The 22,905-nt window shown below is 37.8% G+C and overlaps 1 protein-coding gene across 2 annotated transcripts in view; it reads right to left on the bottom strand.

Moving 5' to 3' along the window:
- Positions 1-22,905, bottom strand: part of THSD7B (thrombospondin type 1 domain containing 7B) — a 912,174-nt gene that overhangs the window by 25,986 nt on the left and 863,283 nt on the right. For both annotated transcript variants that reach the window (NM_001316349.2, XM_047445935.1), the window contains exon 21: positions 9,100-9,245. In NM_001316349.2, the coding sequence (NP_001303278.1) occupies positions 9,100-9,245 (146 nt within the window). The remainder of the gene's footprint in view (positions 1-9,099; positions 9,246-22,905) is intronic.

Raw genomic sequence — 22,905 nt, 5'->3', positions numbered from 1 at the left:
AGATACAGCAAAAGCAGTATTAAGAGGGAAGTTTACAGCAATAAATGTCTACATTGAAAAAGTAGAAAGAATTCAAATAATTTAATGATGTACTTCAAGGTACTAGAAATGCAAGAACAAACCAAACCTCAAATTAGTAGAAAGACAAAATCATATACATCAGAGTAGCCATAAGTCAAAGTGGTCTCACCATACAGAAGATCAAATGATCAAATCTTTGTTTTTTTTAAAAAAATAAACAAAACTGACAAACTTTTAGCTAGACTAAGAAAAAAGAAGACCCAAATAAATAATATCAGAACCCCAAAAGGAGACATAAACACTGAGATCACAGAAATACAAATAATAATTACAGTATATTATGAGCAACCAAATGCCAACAATTTGAAGAACTTAGACTAAATTGATAAATTCCTGGACATACACAACCTATCAAGATTGAACCATGAAGAAATAGAAAATGGCAACAAACGAGTAACAAGTAAGAAAACTGAAGCTGTACTTAAAAGTCTCCCATGAAAAAAAACCCAGACTCTGATGGCTTCATTAATGAATTCTACCAAACATTTAACATAGAACTAATACCAATTCTACTCAAATTATTTAAATAAAATTGAAGAGGAGGGAATACTTCATAATTTATTCCATGAAGCCAGCTTTCCCTGATCCAAGACCAGAAACGGGCATAGCAAAAGTAGAAAACTATAGGCCAGTATCACTGGTGAAAATAAATGTAAAAATCCTGATCAAAATATTAGCAAACCAAATTCAACAATGCATTAAAAAGATCATTCACCATGATCAGGTGGGATTCATTTCAGGAATGTAAGGATGGTACACCCTGTGCAGGAATAACATGCAACATTATCAGAAGCAAGAACAAAAACCATACGATCATTTCAATAGATGCTGAAGAGCATTTGATAAAATTCAATATCCCTTTATGATAGAAACTCTTGACAAATTAGATACAGAAGGAAAAAGAACTCAAAATAGTAAAGATTTCATATGACAGACTCACAGCTAACATTGTATTGAATGGAGAAAAATGGAAAGCGTTTGCTCTAAGATCTGGAACAAGACAAGGATGCCTACTTTTACCACTTTTGTTCAACATAATACTGGAAGTCTTAGCCATAGCAGTTAGTCAAGAGAAGGAAATAAAGGACATCTAAGTTGGAAAGGAAGACGTCAAATTAGCCTTGTTTGCAGATGATATGATCTTATACTTACAAAAACCTAAAGGCTCTACCAAAAAACTCTTGTAACTGATAAAAGAATTAAGTAAAGTTGCAAGACATAAAATCAACATACAGAAATCAGTAGCATTTATATACACCAACAGTGAACAATCTGAAAAATAAATCAAGAATGCAATCTCATTTGCAATAGCTATAAAGGATATAAAACACCTGCAAATCAATTTAACCAAAAAAAGTGAAAGAGCTATACAAGGAAAAGCATAAAACGCTAAAGAAAGTAATTGAAGATGATATATGAAAATGGAAAGATATTCTATGCACATGGATTGGAAGAACTAGTATTAAAATGATGATACTTCCAAAGCAATTTACAGATCTAGTGCAATCCCCATCAAAATACCAAAGACATTCTTCACATACATAGAAAAACATCGTAAAATGTATATGGAACTCAAAATATCAATGCAGTGGCATAATCGGGACTCATTACAGCCTCGACCTCTCCGACTCAAGCCATCTTCCCACCTTAGCCCCCCGAGTATCTGGGATGAGAGACATCCACCACCACACCTGCCTAACTTTTTTTTTTTTAATTTTAGTAGAGATTAGGTCTCACTATGTTACCCAAGCTGGTCTCAAACTCCTGAGGGCAAGGGATTCTCCCACCTCAGCCTCCCCAAGTGCTGGGGTTGCAGGCGTGAGCCACTGTGTCCAGCTGAAACTCAAAATATCTTGAATAGCCAAAGCAATCCTGAGCAAAAAGAACAATGCTGAAAGCATCACACTACTTGACTTCAAAATACACTACAAACCTGTAGTAGGCAAATCAGCATGGCACTGGCATAAAAACAGATACTTAGACAAATGAAACAAAATAAAAAACTCAGACTTATATGCATGATAAAAACCCCAGATTTATATCCAGATTTATATTCATGCATTTATAGACAACTCATTTTTGACAAAGGTGCCAAGAACATGCAGTGGGGAAAGGATAGTCTCTTCAATAAATATTACCGGGAAAACTGGATAAGCATATGCAGAAAAATAAAACTAGTCCTCTACCTTTCAACATACAAGAAAATCAAATCAAAATGTATTAAAGTCTTAAACCTAAGAACCGAAATTTTGAAACTACTAGAAGAAAAGAACTTTGGGAATATGCTCCAGGATATTGGTCTGGGAAAAGATTTTTTTTCTTTTGTGTCAGATATCAAAGCACAGGCAATCAAAGCAAAAATAGACAAATGGGAGTACAACAGGCTAAAAAGCTTCTGCATAGCAAACAATCAACAAAGTGAAGAGACAACCAACAGAATGGGAGAAAATGTTTGCAAACTACCCATGTGACAAGGACTTAATAACCAGAATAAATAAATAGTTCAAAGAACTCAACAGCAAAAAACCCCCAAATAATCCAATTTAAAAATGGGCAAAATACCTGAGTAGACATTTCTCAAAAGAAGACATGCAAATAGCCAACTGCCATATGAAAAAAAAGTTCAACATTAGTACTTATCAGAAAAATGTAAATCAAAAGCATAATGAGATATCATCTTACCCCAGCTAAAATGGCTATTATAAAAAAGACAGGTAATAATAGATGCTGGTGAGGATGTGGACAAAGGGGAACCCTTGAACACTGTTGGTGGGAATTTAAATAAGTACAGCCATTATGGAAAACTGTGTGGAGGTTCCTCAAAAAACTAAAAATGGAAGTACCATATACAGAAATTCTACTACTGAATACACACACACATAAACACACATACACACACACACACATTTATATACTCAAGAGAAGGGAAAGAGATCAATAAATTGAAGAGGCAACTGCACTGCCATGTTTATTGCAGCACAATTCACAATAGTCAAACTATGGAATCAACCTAAGTGCACATCAATGGATGAATGGATAAAGAACACGTGGTATAATGTATACAAATGGACTATTACTCAACCATAAGGAAGAATAAAATCCTGTCATTTGCAGAAACATAAATGGAACTGGAGCTCATTAAGTGAAATAAGCCAAACAGAAAGACAAATATCATATGTTCTCACTCATATGTGGAAGCTAAAAAGGTGGATCTCACAAAGATAGAGAGTTAAGATTGGTAGTTACCAGAGGCAAGGAACGTAGGGGTGAGGGGGGGAGATGAAGACAGGTTGATTAATGGGTACAAATATATAGTTTGATAAAAGAAATAAGACCCAGTATTTGATAGATCAGTAGGGTGACTATAGCTTACAATAATCTACTATATATTTCAAAATGGCCAGAAGAGAATAATTTGAGTTGTTCTAGCATAAAGGAAAATATATAAGGTAATGGATATCCCAATTACACTGACTTGATATTTACGAATTATATGAATATACTAAGTTATCACATATACCCAAAAAATATATACATCTATTATGTATCAAAAATATAGTTCTAAAATAAAAAATAAAATTTTGTCAGGCACTATGAGATGAGTATCTTCGATTTTAGTCAGGTGTTCACACTTCAAAGAAGTCTATTAGATATTTGGATAACTTCAGTTGATAGCTCTGTTTTCATGTAGATATTCTAGAAAACAGAGTCCAAGGCAAAACTTTCACACTAAGAAGCAATCCCAGTATGACTAGAGTAGAGGTAAAATATAACTGAAGCAGGAAAGGAGGGGACGCTAACATGAGGTAGTGTGTTACCAAGCTGGCCTCAGCTTCACAAACAAGCACAGCTGGTTTCTTGGCTACTCACATCATCTTCCAGACAGGTCATGGGGTGTCACCATGTCTCAGTACCATTCATGAAGAGCAGGGAGGAGAGGAAAGAAAGGAGAGGCACTTAAATGTCAACAACTCCTAGGATCCAGTTCTTATTGATCAATGGTCATTTTAGGAAGTCTTAACTCCTCTGTACTTCCAAGTTGTGTTACTCAGCTTTCACTAAGTCCAGAAGTTGGTGGAAGAGCTAGAGGCTTTGTGACTATTGCTGCTGCTATGGATGCTAAGACAAAGAAGAAAAGTGAAGGTGGGAGCAAGAGACAAAACAAGAGGGAGAATAAGAGAAGTGAGAGAGTGGGGGCGGGGGGGTTGGGGAGAGAGAGAGAGAGAGAGAAAGAGACAGAGAGAGATCGGAGTAGGGACTCAGGCCTTCAAACTTCCCAGTCTTTTTGCATCTCTGTTGCTGCAGTCAGGTATGCTACATGCTACAATCCATTATTAGATGACAGTCTGACAACTATGCACTTGAAAACTGAGTGTCTCCTCCTTCTTATCCCTCTTCCCCTGCAGGACTCCCAAACTGCATTGTCTAGATTTTAGAGCTTCTATAGCCCTTGCAGAGGCAGGAGTAAAGCAGGACAAGGTGGCCTGCTAAAGCAGTCATGACAGCATTCCAGGACATGGAGCAAGTGATCCCTGGGCTTATGGGTCAGCTGGGCATCAGACATGCCAGGGTACAGTGACAGCAGCTGTTGGGCATCAAGGGAAGGTCACGGATAAGCTGCTGGAGGGTGCAGGATGGTATAGAATGGCTGCTCATAAAGCTTCTTAACATAGAGAAGTTGTGACTCAAAGACATACCGGCACAAAAGAAAAAGGGCAACTTGGAGGACATGAAGTTGTAGCAACTTTAAATCTAAAGAATCTGAGCAGTCACAAACATTAGGGACACTGCACCCTCTTTTAAAGAAGTGTTCAGAGGAATTATGATTTATTTATCTAAGATAGTCTCTTAGTCTGTTCATGTTGCTATAATAAAATACCTTAGATTGGGTAATTTATAAACAATGGAAATTTATTGCTCATGGTTCTGGAAGCTGCAAAATCCTAGATCAAGGTGCCAGTGAAGTGTTTATTATTATTATTATTATTATTATTATTATTAAGATGGAGTGTCACTTTGTTACCTAAGCTGGAGTGCAGTGGGGTGATCTCAGCTCACTCCAACCTCCGCCTCCCAGGTTCAAGTGATTCTTCTGCCTCAGCCTCACGAGTAGCTGAGATTACAGGCACGTGCGACCACACTCAGCTTTTTTTTTTTTTTTTTTGTATTTGTAGTAGAGATGGGGTTTCATCATGTTGTTCAGGCTGGTCTCAAACTTCTGGCCTCAAGTGATTCACCCTCCTCGGCCTCCCAAAGTTCTGGGATAACAGGTGTGAGCCACCACGCCCCACCTGAAGTGTTTAAATGAGAGCCAGGTCCTCATAGATGGTGACTTCTGGGTGTCCTCAAATGGTACAAGGGAAGAAGAAGCTCCTTCAGGCCTCTTTTATAAGGACATTAATACCGTTCATGAGGGCGGAGCCCTCGTGCCCTTATCACCTTCCAATAACTCCACTTCTGAATTCCATCACATTGGGGGTTATGTTTCAACATGTGAGTTTGGAGGAGGAGGCACAAACATTCAGACCACAGCACACAGTCGTTCCCACATTTGTTTTATCAGTATTTCATAATTGCTCTAATAATTTCTATGCCTGTTATGAAACTGTCCCAAAAAAGCACCATAATTTTAAATCTAAATGCATTTTTTTTGGAGAAAAGTGGAAGTTCAAAATCAATTCATAGTAGATTTATTCAAAGCAAATATTCTAGTAAATGTTTATTTCCTAGAGTGAAAAACAATAGGTATAAATTACTCCAGGGAAGGGAGGGCTCACTTATAACTTATTATTCCATATGATAGATTCATTGCAGAATTGTCTAGGTGTATGTTTTACTGTGGAGTATTAGACTTTGTGTACCTGGAAAGAAGCGTTTAAAGATACTGTAACATACATGAAATTTGAAAGTTTTGAAAGTACTGATACATGGACCCTTAGGTAAAATATGCAGTTTATTAAAGTGGTTTTTTTTTTTTTTACACACCATGAGACAGAGTGTGAAGAAATAACAGGAAACAAACTTATGCTGCAGATCACTTTAAAAACTAAGACAAATAACAGTGTGCTCCTAGTATGTATCTTGGGATCAGTCCATATTCAACCTTAATCGCTTATACCTTCGACAACAACAGCCACAATGTAAAGAGAAATCAGCATCAGATTAATAATTTCTGTCATAAAGCAAACATTCACTCATCCACAGTCAAGAGATTTTACACACTAGGGCCTGAAAATAGACCCAGGTTTCTAAGAGAAAGACTGTAAATGGCACAGGTTTTCTCGTTAACTCTCCATTGCCTAGAGCATTAATAGAGGTTTTGTATACAATGAATTGGCATTACTGCCTAATGTGAATAGGCAGATGGTGCTTATAATCATAATCATAGTTTTAATAAAAATTATAATACTAACTATAACTATTGAGCTCTTAACTTATGTCTATTACTATGCAAAGTACTTTAACTTATCTACTTCCTGCCCACATAACCAGCGAAATAGGTACTACTGCTATCCCCACTATATAAAAAAGAAAACAGATGTTTGGAGAGTTTATAGACTTGGCCAGAAATGCAGAACTAAAAATTGGCAGAACCATGACCAAAATTAGGGCTGCTAGACTCCAGAATCTGAGCTCCTCAAGCAGATTTATGAGCATATGTGTGTATATGTGTTAGCAGCTGAGAAACTTGGGAAGAGTTAGGAAATGCTAAAAAAGAAAGTGATGCCTGAGGATAAATACTTCCTTTTTCACATAAGACACTGGCAGAATTGGCACACCCACTGTGCCCACGCGAGCTTTTATTATGGGTTGATACTTGTGAAGGCAAGCAGCCACCTAAATATCATCACCTCCCTCATTGAATGAGATCCCAACTTGTGTTTGGCAGGCAAGGACATGCTAGGACAAGAGGAAGCACAAATGCAGCGGCAGAAAGATGTTTTTCCTTTGTGCAAAAAGGCCCACGTGCATTTTGATCAGTAATTTAAAAAATCCAGCTTATATATAAATTTAAGTATAGTAAATTTTTAAAGAAGATATGGTGTTACCTATCTCACAAAGAGTTAACAATCAGGCTGCAGGAAAAGTAGGAATGTAGCTGGAAGTCAGGAAAAACTCAACTTAGATATTGTCATGATTCCCTTTCTCTTGCACCTCTGCTTTACTTTATGTCATTTTCGGTGGGCTTTTTGCTTCTGAGTGACTGACTTCATCTATAAGGTAGAAAAATGTGGCAATGAAGAGCTTCTGATTACAGTATCTTGGAATGAGATCAATTTCATTTTAAATTATTGGGGAAGAATGCTGATTGGCACTGTTTGGGTAAGGGCCCACCCTAGAATAATTAACTATAGACTTGTTTATTGAAGCTTTTGCATAGATTAAGTCTAGCTCCAGAGTTTCTTCCCAACTAGAAGTGTCAGCGAACGGGACTCACTCTATCTAGAAATCTGGGGCAACTCTGAAGTTTCTGGAAGCAAAAACCAATCACCTACTCTGGTGGATCTCCAGAAGCCTTGTCAGGGCTTTCAAGACTAGCTATTTCCAATAGATGCCATAACCCTCCACCCATCACCAGCACCACTACAGAGAATGAGCACCACCCATCACTCTTGCCCTTATTGTTTTTGTAAAAGCTCAACATTTGACAGCAAAACATAGCATTTGGCATTTTCCTATAATATTCCTATAGAACAAGTTGGTAGACTTGCCTATCAAAGATATAGATTCCTGATACCTGAGAAGATAAAAGAGAAAGTGCCAAAAACAGGTAAGGTACAGTAGTAGTTGTATTTTTGGTAAAACTTGGAGTGTGGACATTGTCAGTTCTCTGTCCCTCTGTCTCTCCCTCCCTCCCATCCTTTGTCCTCTCTCTTCTTCCTAATATTCAACTTTCCTCTCCCTTCCCCTGAAATGGCTTTCTAAATTCTTTGAGCTTATTTTCTCTATTCTGTCAAAGCAGTCCCAATGATAAGGAGCAATATTCCTTCAATTTTTGTAAGTGAGTCCAAACAACATTTAAATATTGCTGAATACTTAGGAAAGAATTTAGACTAGTAGACAAAGTATTAATATTTAAAGCTATTAAGTTACTTCTGAATTGGTTAATTAGCATGGTTATCTTATTTTCTCTAAAAATGAGACTGAACAAATGTACCACGCATTTTTATTCCTCTGGGACCTATTAAAATACATAGGCATTTAACTTTTGCAAGATAATAATGTTGCCTGACAATGTCATCCTGACAGGAACACTAAACATCTCTATGAGAATACTCTGCAGATTTCTTAATGCATAATCAAAATTATTGTTACCTAATTAAAGTATGCTTTGGAACATGAACTAAGGATAAACTACTAGGATAAGAAAATAGGGAAAAACAATGTGCTATTTCTTAAGCAAGAAGCCAGAGAGAAAATGCAGTAGAGGATCTTTGCTGATCTAGCAAAAGCTCTTGGTACGTGATATACTAGGATGTTGTTAGGCATTTATCTGTAAGGCCAATAAAAAAGTAATCATTGAGGAAAATGTAGTGACCATGGTTCATGTAATAATGTTAAAATATAACTTCATACACTTTTGGTTTTCTGCTCATATGCAAGATTTTGTCTAACCCTAAAAGTGTTTCTTTAAGAAATCTAAATTTCTTAAACAATCTAAAGCAAGCTATGCATTTTCACAGCATCAGGATTTTCGCCTAATTAAATAATCCTTTGATATTCCCAACAAGCCAATAAAATAACAGAATTCTTAAGGATGCCAAGGAGATTGAAGGATCTGTGACCTGACCTATTATAATCAGTGCTTAATGAATGGCTGTTTATTACCCTAGCAATATCACTCTGCATGAGGTTAAGCCATTTGGTTGTATTTTTCCATGTTCTGCATTGCATTAAAAATACATTGTGCCAGACCCCTGGTGCTGTGAAATTTATTCCATCAGCGCATAGGTTTGACCAGACAAGTGCTTCGAATATACTGATGAATATTTCTCTAACTGTCATTACATGACCTACCTCCAATTTACATGCAGACCAGTTGCCAAGGACCCAGCTGTAGCAGGGGGTCACTGGGCAGGTTTTCTCCTGGGTAAGCTCTGTGGGGCATGGCCGTCCTTCTCCTTGGGTTGGCATAATGATAAATCGAGTCCGGCTCATTCGACCTAAAATGATAAGGGAGGTGTCAGCTTTTCAGTTAGTTTGGCTTGGAAAGGGACCTGAAGAACAGAATGTTGCCTTATACATGTAAGTCTTCATTTTAATAGACTGAACTCTGTCCTATCTCACTTTTAGTTTTTCTGTCATTTTCATTTAGAGTTCCACAGAGACACAGGCTATCTAGGTTTTCACAATGCTTAAAGGATCTGAAATTCTGTCTTCTACTTCTTTTAGTCTTCAAAGTACAAACGTTCTATTGTTGCCAAGTAGACTGATCTTGTAAACATTGGTAGACTGTCAATTCATTTAATAAATATTTATTTATTAAGCTCTAGCATGATCAAGGCATCCTGTAGTGTGCTATGGACAGTAGTAAAATTGCCAGATATATCCTCTACCGTCAAATACCTCATATTTTAAGCCAGGATTACAAATATTAAACCAAAATAGTGAGCATTGCCTCTTCTGTGAGGCAATGAGCATGAGCATAATAAACATGAGCAAGTAAGGTAAAAATCACACATCATCCAAATTATCCTAAAAAATTCCCTAGGAAGGTGCTACCCCAAGGTCCCAATAGTGTCTTTTAATTAATTCAAAACAGACAATTTTTTTTCAGAGGTTTAGAACCAATTTCTTTCTTCACCGAGCACAAGATAAAGTTGTTGGCTTGTATGAAGCAACCAAGATGTTTAAAAAACATATGTTCAAATACTAGTCTCCTGTTCTGCAATGAAAGACAATTGATTAGTAAAAATCGCTCAGAAAAGAGCAGTGCTCCCATGTCATCTTCTGCCCCCTCCTAGGCATTAGGTCATCAGCTCATCAGGTGGAATAGTGATGGAATAACCTACATTATTTGTTTGTGCTTCTCTCTTTCTCTTGTACTCTTTCACTCTCACTCTCTCTTTCCTACTCTTGTTCTTTCTGATGAAGAACTCAGCACATATAATTTAATTACTATTAGTTATTTGTGAATATGGTGGACTTCCAGTGTTGTTATAAAGTTAATTATGTAATTGTATTTGTGATAAATGTTAAAAGAAAAACAGGGTTCTGTGGAAGCATGCATTAGAATGGCAGCCCATTCTGAGAAGGAATCAGAGATCACTGCCATGAGCAGTGGAACTTTAAGCAGAAATCTGAAAAGATGTAAATCAGACATGATGTGCAGAGAGAGTACGCCACACAGAGGAGGGAGCACGTGAAGAGATGGTGAGGTGCAAAGGATCATATATCTGAGGACCTGACAGAAGCCAGTGCAGCTGGAGCAGAGAGTATTAGTGAGAAGGGCTTGAGAAAATGTTGTTAAAGCTATTCAAAGCAGAGTCTTTTAGTTGATGTCAAAGATTCTACATTTATATCCTAAGAGAAATGGAAAGCTAGTGAGGACTTTGCTTCTAGATAGAATTTACTTGAAAACCCTGGATAGAAACAATTACAGATACCTTCAAGTTTAGTGATAAGTAAGGGTGACTCACTTTCAAAGAACTAGACCTCTTACTGTCCACCAGAATATTATCATAGATTTGGTGGTAAACTAACTCTCTGAGAGTATCCTTGAAGAAAACTAGGGTGTCCTAATCACTGGCTTCTAAATTTCTTAAGGTTTATACTTCTGTGCCTAACATGGTACTTCACAGACATTAAGTAAGTGGACTATATGTTTAATTTATATTTTCATAAATTATTGATGTGATATTATGTTATATGCAAATGTGTGATACAATAATATCAATACATTGATTGAGCTAGTACCATGTGTTGGGCAATATTTTCAACACTTCATATGCATGGATTCATTTAATAGTGATAACAACCCAAGAGGAAAATTCTACTGTTTTCTCATATTATAGATGACGAAACTAAGGCTCAGAGAATTTAAGTCCCTTGTTTGGGTTTAAAAAAACAAACAAACAAAGTAGGTTGCAGAACAGGATTCAAAGCAGTTTTACTCTAGTAGCTGCTTCATTAATTATGCTGCTGGGTAGACATGAGCAAGACAGCTAAGATAGCTACCTATTTAAGTCTTTTATAGGAGATATACAAGGAATTTTAGATGGTGGTTGTATTAATTCATTTTCATGCTGCTGATAAAGACACACCCAAGACTGAGAAGAAATAGAAGTTTAATTAGACTTACAGTTCCACATGGCTGGGGAGGCCTCAGAACCATGATGGGAGGTGAAAGGCACTTCTTACATGGTGGTGGTAAGAGAAAAATGAGGAAGAAGCAAAAGCGGAAACCCCTGATAAACCCATCAGATCTCATGAGACTTATTCACTATCACAAGAATAGCACGGGAAAGACTGGCCCCCATGATTCAGTTACCTCCCCCTGGGTCCCTCCCACAACAGGTGGGAATTCTGGAGATACAATTCAAGTTGAGATTTGGGTGGGGACACAGCCAAACCATATCATTCTGCCCCTGGCCCCTCCAAATCTCATGTCCTCACATTTCAAAACCAATAATGGCTCCCCAACAGTTCCCCAAAGTCTTAACTCATTTCAGCATTAACCCAAAAGTCCACAGTCCAAAGTCTCATCTGAGACAAGGCAAGTCCCTTCTACTTATGAGCCTGTAAAATCAAAAGCAAGCTAGTTACTTCCTAGATACAATACATACCGGCACAGGTATTGGAAAAATACAGCCATTCCAAATGGGAGAACTTGGCAAAAATAAAGGGGTTATGCGGCCCAGGCAAGTCCGAAATCCAGTGGGGCAGTCAAATTTTAAAGCTCCAAAATGATCTCCTATGACTCCAGGTCTCACTTTCAGGTCACACTGACGCAAAAGGTGGGTTGCCATGGTCTTGGGCAGCTCCATCCCTGTGGCTTTGCAGGGCACAGCCTCCCTCTTGCCTGCTTTCATGGGCTGGCGTTGAGTGTCTGCAGGTTTTCCAGGCACACGGTGCAAGCTGTCAGTGGGTCTACCATTCACGAGGATGTAGAACAATGGCCCTCTTCTCACAGCTCCACTAGGCAGCACCCCACTAGGGACTCTGTGTGGGGGCTCCGACCCCATATTTCCCTTCTGCACTGCCCTAGAGGGGGTTTTCCATGAGGGCCCTGCCCCTGCAGCAAACTTTTGCCTGGGCACGCAGGCGTTTCCATACATCTTCTGAAATACAGGCAGAGGTTCCCAAACCTCAATTCTTGACTTCTTTGCACCCTCAGGCTCAACACCACATGGAAGCTGCCAAGGCTTGGGGCTTCCACTCTCCGAAGCCACAGCCCGAGCTTCATGTTGGCCCCTTTCAGCCACAGCTGGAGCAGCTGGGACACAGGGCACCAAGTCCCGAGGCCCACAAAACCACTTTTCCTGCTGGGACTCCAGGCTGTGATGGGAGGGCCTGCTGTGAAGTTCTCTGACATGCCCTGGAGACATTTTCCCCTTGGTCTTGGGGATTAGCATTAGAGTCCTTGCTACTTATGCAAATTTCTGCAGCTGGCTTGAATTTCTCCTCAAAAAAAAAAAAATGGCTTTTTCTTTTATACTGCATCGTCAGGCTGCAAATTTTTCTGAACTTTTATGCTCTGTTTCTCTTCTAAAATGGAATGCTTTTAACAGCACCCAAGTCACATCTTGAATGCTTTGCTGCTTAGAAATTTCTTCCACCAGGTACCCTAAATTATCTCTCTCAAGTTCGAAGTTTCACAAATCTCTAGGGCAGGGGCAAAATGCCACCAGTCTCTTTGCTAAAACATAACAAGAGTCACCTTTCCTCCAGTTCCCAACAAGTTCCTCATCTCCATCTGAGACCACCTCAGCCCGAACTTTATTGTTCATATCACTATCAGCATTTTTGTTGAAGCCATTCAACGAATCTCTAGGAGGTTCAACACTTCCCCACATTTTCTTGTCTTCTTCTGAGCCCTCTGCCTGTTACCTAGTTCCAAAGTCGCTTCCACATTTTCAGGTATCTTTTCAGCAGTGCCCCAATGTACTGGTATCAATTTACTCTATTAATCTGTTTTCACACTGCTGATAAAGACATATCCAAGACTGGGAAGAAAACGAGGTTTAATTGGACTTACAGTTCCACGTGGCTGGGGAGGCCTCAGAATCATGGTGGGAGGTGAAAGGCACTTCTTACATGGAGGTAACAAGAGAAAAATGAGGAATAAGCAAAAGCGGAAACCCCTGATAAACCCATCATATCTCATGAGACTTATTCACTATCATAAGAATAGCACGGGAAAGACCGGCACCCATGATTCAGTTACCTCACCCTGGGTCCCTCCTACAACACGTGGGAATTCTGGGAGATACAATTCAAGTTTGAGATTTGGTTGGGGACACAGCCAAACCATATCAGCGGTAAAATTTCTTTCAGTGATGATACAGGCAAGGGCTTATTCTGCAACCCTGGGCACAGAGCTCTTGCATGGAGTGTATATGTTTAGACAGATGTTCTTCCCAGCATCACTCAAATCATACAGGTCAGATATCATTCACATCAAATGTTGTCCCTGCCAGATGAACACATTTGGCACAAGATTTCACATTAATTTTTGCTTAAATACTCTTCAAGTTTTATAATAACTTTAATGTTTATTCTCTTGACTGAAACACCTATTATCCTAATGTCATTATAATTGCAGGCTGTTCCATCCATATTTGTAAGGATAATGACAATGTGGTGTCACCTTTATCATGGCCAAAGAGACTCTATTTCATTATAACCAAATAACTTCAGGCTTGTTTTGAATTGATGGCATGCTGAGGGCCAATACTATAGAACCATTTTATTTATTTCCATTAAGGTGACAGATATGTTCTGCTGGACATAAAGGTAGAGAAAATCTAATAAATGCAAAAGAAAAAAATGATGCTATTACTTTTAAAATAATGAAGTCTCAAGACCATTCATTGGAAGCACAGCCATATGGTTTCTCTTGCTTTTGGTATCCAAACACAAAGAGAAGATTTCCAAACAATGCCTATGACTTCCAAGAATATTTTTTGAAACCAAGGAACATATAGTAAATCTGCATTTTGATGTATTTTGTGTTTAATTGGTTCGTGTTAAACTTCAACAAAAACTATTGCTAATAAGTACATGCAAGTGTAAGAGAAAATTACTGGACCTGATGCTTCTGTTGGGTAATTGTTATCTTTTACTATATTTCTTTTTCTATTTAAGTCAGGGATGTTTAGATTGTATAAGTTAAAGAACCAAAAATGTATCCCTCAAATAAAAAAAATCTAATAACATGGAATGTGGATGTTATCAATAAAGAGGTCTGCCACCTTCCAGGTTAGTGGTCAATATTACTTGGGATGCCAGATCTCAGAAAGGATGGAATATTCAACCAAGCAGCTATCTCCCAGCAATAATTATTCTATCAAGAAATCCTAACAGCAGGAGCCTGAAGGAATTGTTTTGGCAATGATGAGTTTTGATGGGAGAGAGAAAGCAGTGGAGGATGTGGCCATATTAAAGATAAAATTATGGTGTTGTATGGAACATGAGAGGAAGAGAATTTGAAACTAGCTGATGTGCCAGGCACAGTGGCTCACGCCTGTAATCCCAGCATTTTGGAAGGCTGAGGCAGGGGGATCACTTGAGTTCAAGAGTTTGAGACCAGCCTGGGCAGCATAGCAAGACCTCATATCTATAGAAAAAACACAGAAAGTTAAAAAATAAACCTGATATATGGTGGAGAGAGGCCTGGAATGGGCATTAAAAGTTTCTAGTTGGAAATAGTTCTCTCCAATTAACAACTAGTAAATGATATGACTACATACAAGTACTTTAACTCTTCTGAGCATAAATTTTCTGTAAAATAAAACTGAGAATACAAAAAGTCTTTATTACTTGAAGACAATTCATGTTAGAAAAAAAATGCCACTTAAAAGTGAAGCTATTTTAAATGGGAATTAAATTATTTTAAATAAATAGTAAAAAATATTTAAATGAGACTTTTTTCTGAAACTAAAAGAATGAAAGTGGGTTTATTTTATCTAATATCCACTAGCATATATATTATGATTACAATTATGCACTTGTTATTAGGACAAATAATAAATTGGTCATTGATATTTCTTACATAATTTTATGATAGCTGTAAGAGATCTTGATGTTTCATAGCTGACTTTCACAGCTTGAACATAAAGTTTTTGGCTGTTGAGTCAATTATCATCAGTTTTCCAAGGGCTCCCTTTAATCTTTGGTGTGAAGATCACTCCATATTGTATCCCCTTTGTAGTGGACACACGTTTAATTTACAGCTAAAGATAGACCAACAAATCCCCTGATTTGCAATGATAGAACATGTGTGTTAATGGAGAAAGTTTGTTGACTGGGCAAAGGTTCTGTAAATGATGTTTGTTCATGAATATTTTGATGTTATGAGGGGCTTGGCTGTCTATGGAATTCACAATAATGCAGATTCAGATGAAGAATATCAGATGATGAGGACTGCCTGGATATGTGTCACAAAGGTTATACAAATAAAAAATACTGTATAAAAGCAACTTGCAAGGGGCTGGGCACAGTAGCTCATGTCTGTAATCCCAGCAGTTTGGGATGCAAGACGGGCAGATCACTTGAGGTCAGGAGTTCGAGACCAGCCTGACCAACGTGGTAAAACCCCATTTCTACTAAAAATACAAAAATTAGCAGATATGGTAGTGTATACCTATAATCTCAGCTATTCGGAGGCTGAGACAGGAAGATCACTTGAACCTGGAAGGCAGAGGTTGCAGTGAGCCAAGATCGTGCCACTGCACTGTAGCCTGTGACTCCGTTTAAAAAAAAAAAAAAGAAACTTGCGGAATATTTTAAATATGGTAACTGCTTTTATTTTTCTCTTCTTAAACATTTATTTTTTAACAAATACTCTCATATCAATTCCTAGAACTGGCCCTGAAACATGCCTGTAATGAGTACATAAAACATGCTACCTGTGTCTGCTGTATTTTACTGGGCTTATTATATTAAATGAATGAAATTACAAAATACATAGTTACTCAGCCAGTTCCCAACCTATCAAATCCCTTAACACTGTATCCTGGACTCTTTCTGTTCTCAGAGTAATAGTGAAGCTTGCTGCCATACATATCCTCATGCTTTCAAAGTCAGAGGGGAAGAATTTCCTTGGAAACTCTCTAGACTTGTCTTGCTTGGGTTTATGTTTTTCAATAACTGCATGAGACATGACAATAGGTATCAATTGGGAACTAAATTCAATCATAAATATGGACAATATGCTGAATGAGCAATGCCCATTGAGATGAAGGAACAGAAGTTGACTCTCTATTCGTGCACTCATCAGCTTACAAAACAGAGAAAGACACTCCCTATAAAATATGTTTCCAATGGAAAAAAGACCGAAATCATAGTAGGGTAAATTTGCTATTTGCTAGTAATTCTCCTCTCTGAGCCTTTTCCTCTTTTTCCCTGGAGAATACTGGGACCTCATTATAAACAACATTGATATTGAGCTTATTATTATATGAGCAATAATCACTAGCAATGAAACAAAAAGGATTGAATGGCAAGATCTTTAGAAAAAATAATAGACAGTGAGGTGGTATACAGGTTGTAAAAACAAAAACAGAAGCAGAGAGGACAATCCTAGTGCCTGCATACAGGTTTAAAGCATATCAGACTAGATCATATTCCTACTGAACTAGGCAGTAGTCAAACTTCCCTCTTGAGGCTCCACTGACAAAGTAGATGTAGGAAATTTTAAGCAATTCAAACAAATCTCAAAACTGGTAAACATTTGTCAATGTATACACTTAGAAAAAGAAAGGAAGTCAAATGCAGTAATTCCCTATTCTGACTATACTTTCCAATCAAAGTAGCCAGCCACCATGCCCTTTAGAAAGCCATGCTGTAAACAACAATTCTTCTGTGGCCCTGACACATAGTCATTGAATTTACTGGAAATTATGTTTTTGGTAGCTCTGGCCAATTTGGATATGGCCCAGGCAAAGTATATATGTAAGAGATAATGGAAAAGGAAATATAAGAATAATAGAGAGATTGTCGAAGAAGGTTCCTATTGACTGGAAACAAATAGTTCATTGAATAAAATATCTGAGCAATTTACATAAATATACCTATAAACTCCAGTGCACTGTAGATATATAAAAGCAATAGTAGTAGTATATGAAGTAACTTTGAGCTTCCAGCATGTCTATGAATGACATTATTATTGGCTTGCTTTCCACCTGGACATCACTTCTTTTGAACATAAGTTAAATTTCCAAAGTTTATGCACAATCATTGGCAGAAAATGATCACCCAGAAACCAACATCTAGAAGGGGTTGGCCAACTAAAACACCATGCAGAATAGGGTACAATGTCACTTAACTGAAGTTAATGATGGTCTTTCCTGATAAGAACCCCAAAATCAGGTTAATGAATAAAAGAGTTCCACTTTCAAGGGTTTTCCCCCTATGGATTTATTCTTCAGCATTTGGTACCTGTGACCTAGTGTTAGACAATAGCAAATACTAGTGGATGACAACATAAGTGAAAAAGAAGCAAAGGAATACTAACAAAACCTCATTAGTAGATGGCCATGTTCAATCTAAGTTAATTTTAGTCATATATATTTCTGTGTTTAAGGCATTTTATTGTATGATACCTTTTGTCATTGTAAAAACAGTCCTCATTATGGAGGAAGGCACTAAATTAATTAAGGGAATACAATGTGCTTTGATATACAAATGATATCATATGTTCTTGCTTAGCTTTTTCTCTTCCTTATCCTGCTTTCTTCACTCTCCTGCCCCTGAGAATTCCTCCCCCTACTCTCTGAGTCACATAAAACACTTTATCAACCCTGGTTTCAGGCTGAGTTCAGGACATAGTTATTAATATTCCCCTTTAACATATGATAAACTGAGGCTCAGAGAATTTAAATATTTTTTGTGAAATGATACAGGTAGAAGGTTTGGAACAAAGATTTGTCTTGCTCCAAAAACATATGCTTTCCAATAGATCTCATCTAATCCATATCTTAGGTATCAGATACTACGCTCTAGTTATTAGGCCACTCAAACTAGTTTGAGAATTGCACTTAGATCTACCTTTTGCAATAAATTTGTTGTATGTATTTGTACACTCCATATTTTCTTTAGCAAAAAGGAATTAAGGTGACTGTGCTAACACCTTTCTCCTATGACAATTCTTTATTTGTTTTCAGGTACTCATCACAGTAAATTTCTGAAAGCAGTAGAAAATCAGGTTGTGTATAAAATGCTCAGTTAATTTCATGTGGCTTTTTAGGCTGGACATCTACTAAAAAGTGGTTAAAGCTGTACTTCTCACTTCTCTTAACAAATATCAGGAATTTTTATCCAAGTTTATTTTAAGTGCAAAATTTATTTTAAATATTACTGGTGGATATAGATTTGGGATCAAGGCTATTTTCCAGTATAGCAGAGTGGAGGAAAATTACAGTCCTGATCTGCAAACTAAAGACAGCTCTTTAGCACATGTGTGGTATTGATGCAGCAGTAATTCTACACCCAGAGATACAGTCCCTCAGCTTCCCCTATAGAGGGATTCCTTGGCTTATATGAAAGTTGCTTCAGGTCTCCGGATACCCTTTTATCCTAGAGAAGATCCAACTTAAGCAAGATAAACATTCTATAGGCTTTTCAGAGCAAAACAGACTCTAGTCCAAGCCAGGATCACATCTCTGCCAGGTACATGGGAAGTAACAAGACCACCACTTTAAAAGTCAAGGCCGTGATGTCAAGGGGCTTAGATAGGTATTTTATGGCAGAAGATTAAGCACTTTTGACATTGCTTTTATGGCATTTTATGGCAGAAGATTAAGCACTTTTGACATTGCTTGGATATAAATAACTCCAGATTTTTCAATGGTAGAGTATGTATATGCATTCTGACCGCTTACCTCCAGTTCTATTTTCAACAATCACATTTCAATTCCATTAAAAACTAACACAACTTGAGGGACCACTGTAATACCTATAAACAGCAGCAATACCCACAATGAGCAATTTCCATGGGATGCAAGAAGGTGAGAGAGAGTGAATTTGCAAATCTTGGAGCTAATCTTCACACCCTTTTTAGAGAAAACCATCAGAGTCACACATTACCTCTCTGTAAGATTGGCAGCTATATCCCTATTAGATAAACTACATAACATGCAACATTATTAGTTGCGAGGCAAGAACATATTTAGAAGGTTTAAAATTCAGAGGGGCTTCTTAAAGCATTAATATATTTCACTGCCTTTTGTGTTCCAACCTGTGACCCATTTTCTCTGCTTATTCTCAAATATATCTATAAATTATAATAATTTTTATAGTGATATAGCATGCAACCCAGGGCCATGTACACAATAGGTGATACAGAGTGTCAGATGTACACGATCATAGTGGAACAAATGGGGGCTTTGGAGATACCTGAACTTGGGTTCAAATCCATCCTCCACAACTGACAAACTATGTAACCTTGGGCAGATTACTTCAGTGCCTATCATTACATCGGTAAAATTAGGTCTATTCTTCATAGTACTGTTGAGAATAATTACTAACATACTCCTAGCATCAGTAATTATACCCTTGACCAACAGGTATTAAAAAGTAATCCCTCTAACATTTCATCATTTTATAGATAAAAACAGTGCAAGAGAGTTCTGCACAGGATGAGTGAGTGGTCCGACATCCTACAGCTTGCCATGGAAAAGCTGACTCTAAAACACAGATCGTCGAGTTTCTTGTCTATTCTTTTTCTTCCATTCCACTACCTAGCTTCTTGTTCTTTTGCCATAAGAACGAATTACTTGATACAGTAAATAAGTCTGAATTATTGTGACAGACTGTGCCCAATCAAGAATACCATGCATTGATCAAATTGGATGCAGATATCAAAAATTAAAGTTATTGGCTTGCCCTTGAAACCTAGAAAAAACAGCTGGAAGTCACAAAGTTGTTGTTGTGTTTTGGAGTTAATACAAAATTATTTTCTCATTATGGGCTAGAGTTGACAGAAAATTATATGCCATCTGGGAAACACAAGAAGTAGGCTGGGTCATATGATATAAAAATATTATAAACTCATATGCATTAAATTTAAAAATATAAAATACAAATAAATCATAGTCTGGATTTAATAACATTCTTAGAGTGTTATCAGTTAAATAATTATGAATAATTCATGATATGCTAAATTTAGGGAGTTCTACATCCCACTAAACTGATGAAAATTCAAGAGACAAAAAACATGACTAATCCAAATATTAAGCTCTTCTATTACAAGCTTTGATCTTTGAAATCTATCTAAAAAGATCCCTTAGTGGAAGCTTAGAATCGGTCTCTCTCTAAATTGAAATAAATTGGATTCAAACTGTTCTGACCTTGAAATCTTTAACACAATTAGAAAGTATATGCCAAGCATCAGGTATACATTAAAGAGGCAATCCAGACACTTGGAAGATAAAGTAAGAGCTCATTTCAAAACTTCCCCTCAGATCGTTGTAGTTCTGTGGGTTTGAAGACGAAGTGTGGCTCATGGGGAAGCATCAGGGACATCTAGCACACCAGGTTTTGCCCAATAACTCAGCGAATGCAGAAAAAAAGATAATTGTGCGAACTTTTGTTTTTGATAAAGACATCAGCTGAGAACTGCAGCTGCTGAAGTTTGACTCCCAGGTAACTCGCATGCCCACTTTAATGTGACTAAATAAACTCTACCTCTTCCTGTGGTCTCTGCCTATTGCTACAACCCGTTCGAAAAGAGAAAGCGGCTCCTACAAAAGACAGCTGCTGGCACTTTGTCTTAGAACAGGCGAGCTGCTGATGTTTCCTAATGATAGTCTCCAACCTTTGCAGCTCCACAATTTGGTCTCTTAAGAAACAAGTTCATCTATACCATACATTCCTGCTTCTGATTACTGCTATTCATTTACTGTTTGTTTTTCAGGTTGTGCTGTATGAGGATTCAAGCATGATTTAAATACAGAATTATCTTATTTTAATAATATTACTATCTACCACAGGTGTGATGGTTAGGGAAGTGTGGTGCCAACAGACTGGAGCAGGAAGGCTAGAATGGGGAAGAAGTTTGGGGATGGTGGGGAATAACATGATACACCCACAGAGGCTGCCTTGGCACAGTCTTGAGGGTAGGTGCTTAAAAATTCAAGGGCCATGTATCCTATTCCTCTTTGTACCACTCAATTCTGTTTTTAAAGTTTGAGATTGGGGCTGGGTGGGGTGGCTTATGCCTATAACCCCAGCACTTTGGGGGGCCGAGGCAGGCAGATTGCTTGAGCTCAGGAGTTCAAGACCAGCCTGGGTAACATGGCATAACCCAGTTTCTACAAAAAATAGAAAATTTAATCAGGTGTGGTGGCATGTGCCTGTAGTCCCAGCTACTTGGGAGGCTGAAGAGGGAGGACTGCTTGAGCCCAGGAGGCAGAGGGTGCAGTGAGCCAAGATTGTGCCATTACATTTCAGCCTGGGCAACAGAGCAAGATTCTGTATCGCGAAAAAAAAAAAATTGAAGTTGGGCGCAAATAAATGCAAGTAGAAAATACTCATCTTTATATTTTTGTCTGAAGGTCTTAACATGGGACCTTAAATAGAACAGTTAGTCAAAAAATGCTTGTGAGATTGAACACTGAGCAGCCTAGTAAAGAAAACATTAGTCACAAGAGCTATGGCACCATCCTGCCCCAAATATTATCCTACTAGACCCTTAGAAACTAGCCAGAAGTGATGTGTAACTGATGCCATACTTATATGCCAATAGACACTATCTAGATGATTTCCAAGTACTTTATGCAACTTCATTTCTCCAAGTAGTTAACATTCCTTCCCTAGTCCTTCTGTGCCTTGGTTCACACAAGGACTTTTCTTGTGAAATCTGTGTTTTGTTTTTGTCTTTGTTTATTATTCTAAGGATTGGAGAAAGGTGAATTTTAGCTCAGACTATAGTTGCCTAGAACTCCTGAATAGTAGGATTGAAATTTGCATGGGTTTTTGTTGTTTGTAGACAAACAGGGTCTAGTAGACAACAGGGTCTGATGAGTCCACAGCACTAACAGAACTGCTTACAATTTTTAAGTGATCTTTTAATACTAAACTTATGATTTGGGGTCTTATTCATAAAGGTGGTATGTTGGAATAACACGGAGATCTGTCATGTTTCAGTGACTTGGTACAGTGGCAGAATTAGGACTTTCAGACAAAAATAATAATAAACAGATTTCTTGTCTCCTTGCATTGAACACAATCTTGGATAATGAGACCTAAGAATGTAGGTATTCAGGCAAAGGAGAAGAAACAGCCACTGTTTCTTGGGATTGGCTGCCTTTGGGCTTGCAATCTAGCATGCAAGCTCTTCCCCTTTCAACTTTCTTTTTATGGTCCAGAACCATCTAGGCAATGACAATAATAAAATTCTTTCAGTGTGCCAATAACTGTGTTTCAACTGTGAAGATTCACCCACAAAGAATACAAACAGGGTCACTGGCCCCTTAGAAAGACAGACATGAAAATGGATTCAATTCATGCATGATAAAAATCGTAGGAGGCAGTCATGGGGATGATGGTGAGAGGTTCCATGTAAGGAAAAGTGCCAAGGTGAGAAGCAGCATAATTTGATCAAGGGTGTGATTGAAATGTAGTATGTTGGAACTGACAGAGCTGGCAGGGCAGTACAAGGTG

This window comes from Homo sapiens, chromosome 2 (genome assembly GCF_000001405.40).
Source record: "Homo sapiens chromosome 2, GRCh38.p14 Primary Assembly".
Lineage (NCBI taxonomy): Eukaryota > Metazoa > Chordata > Mammalia > Primates > Hominidae > Homo > Homo sapiens.
This window is presented reverse-complemented; position numbering and strand designations above follow the sequence as displayed.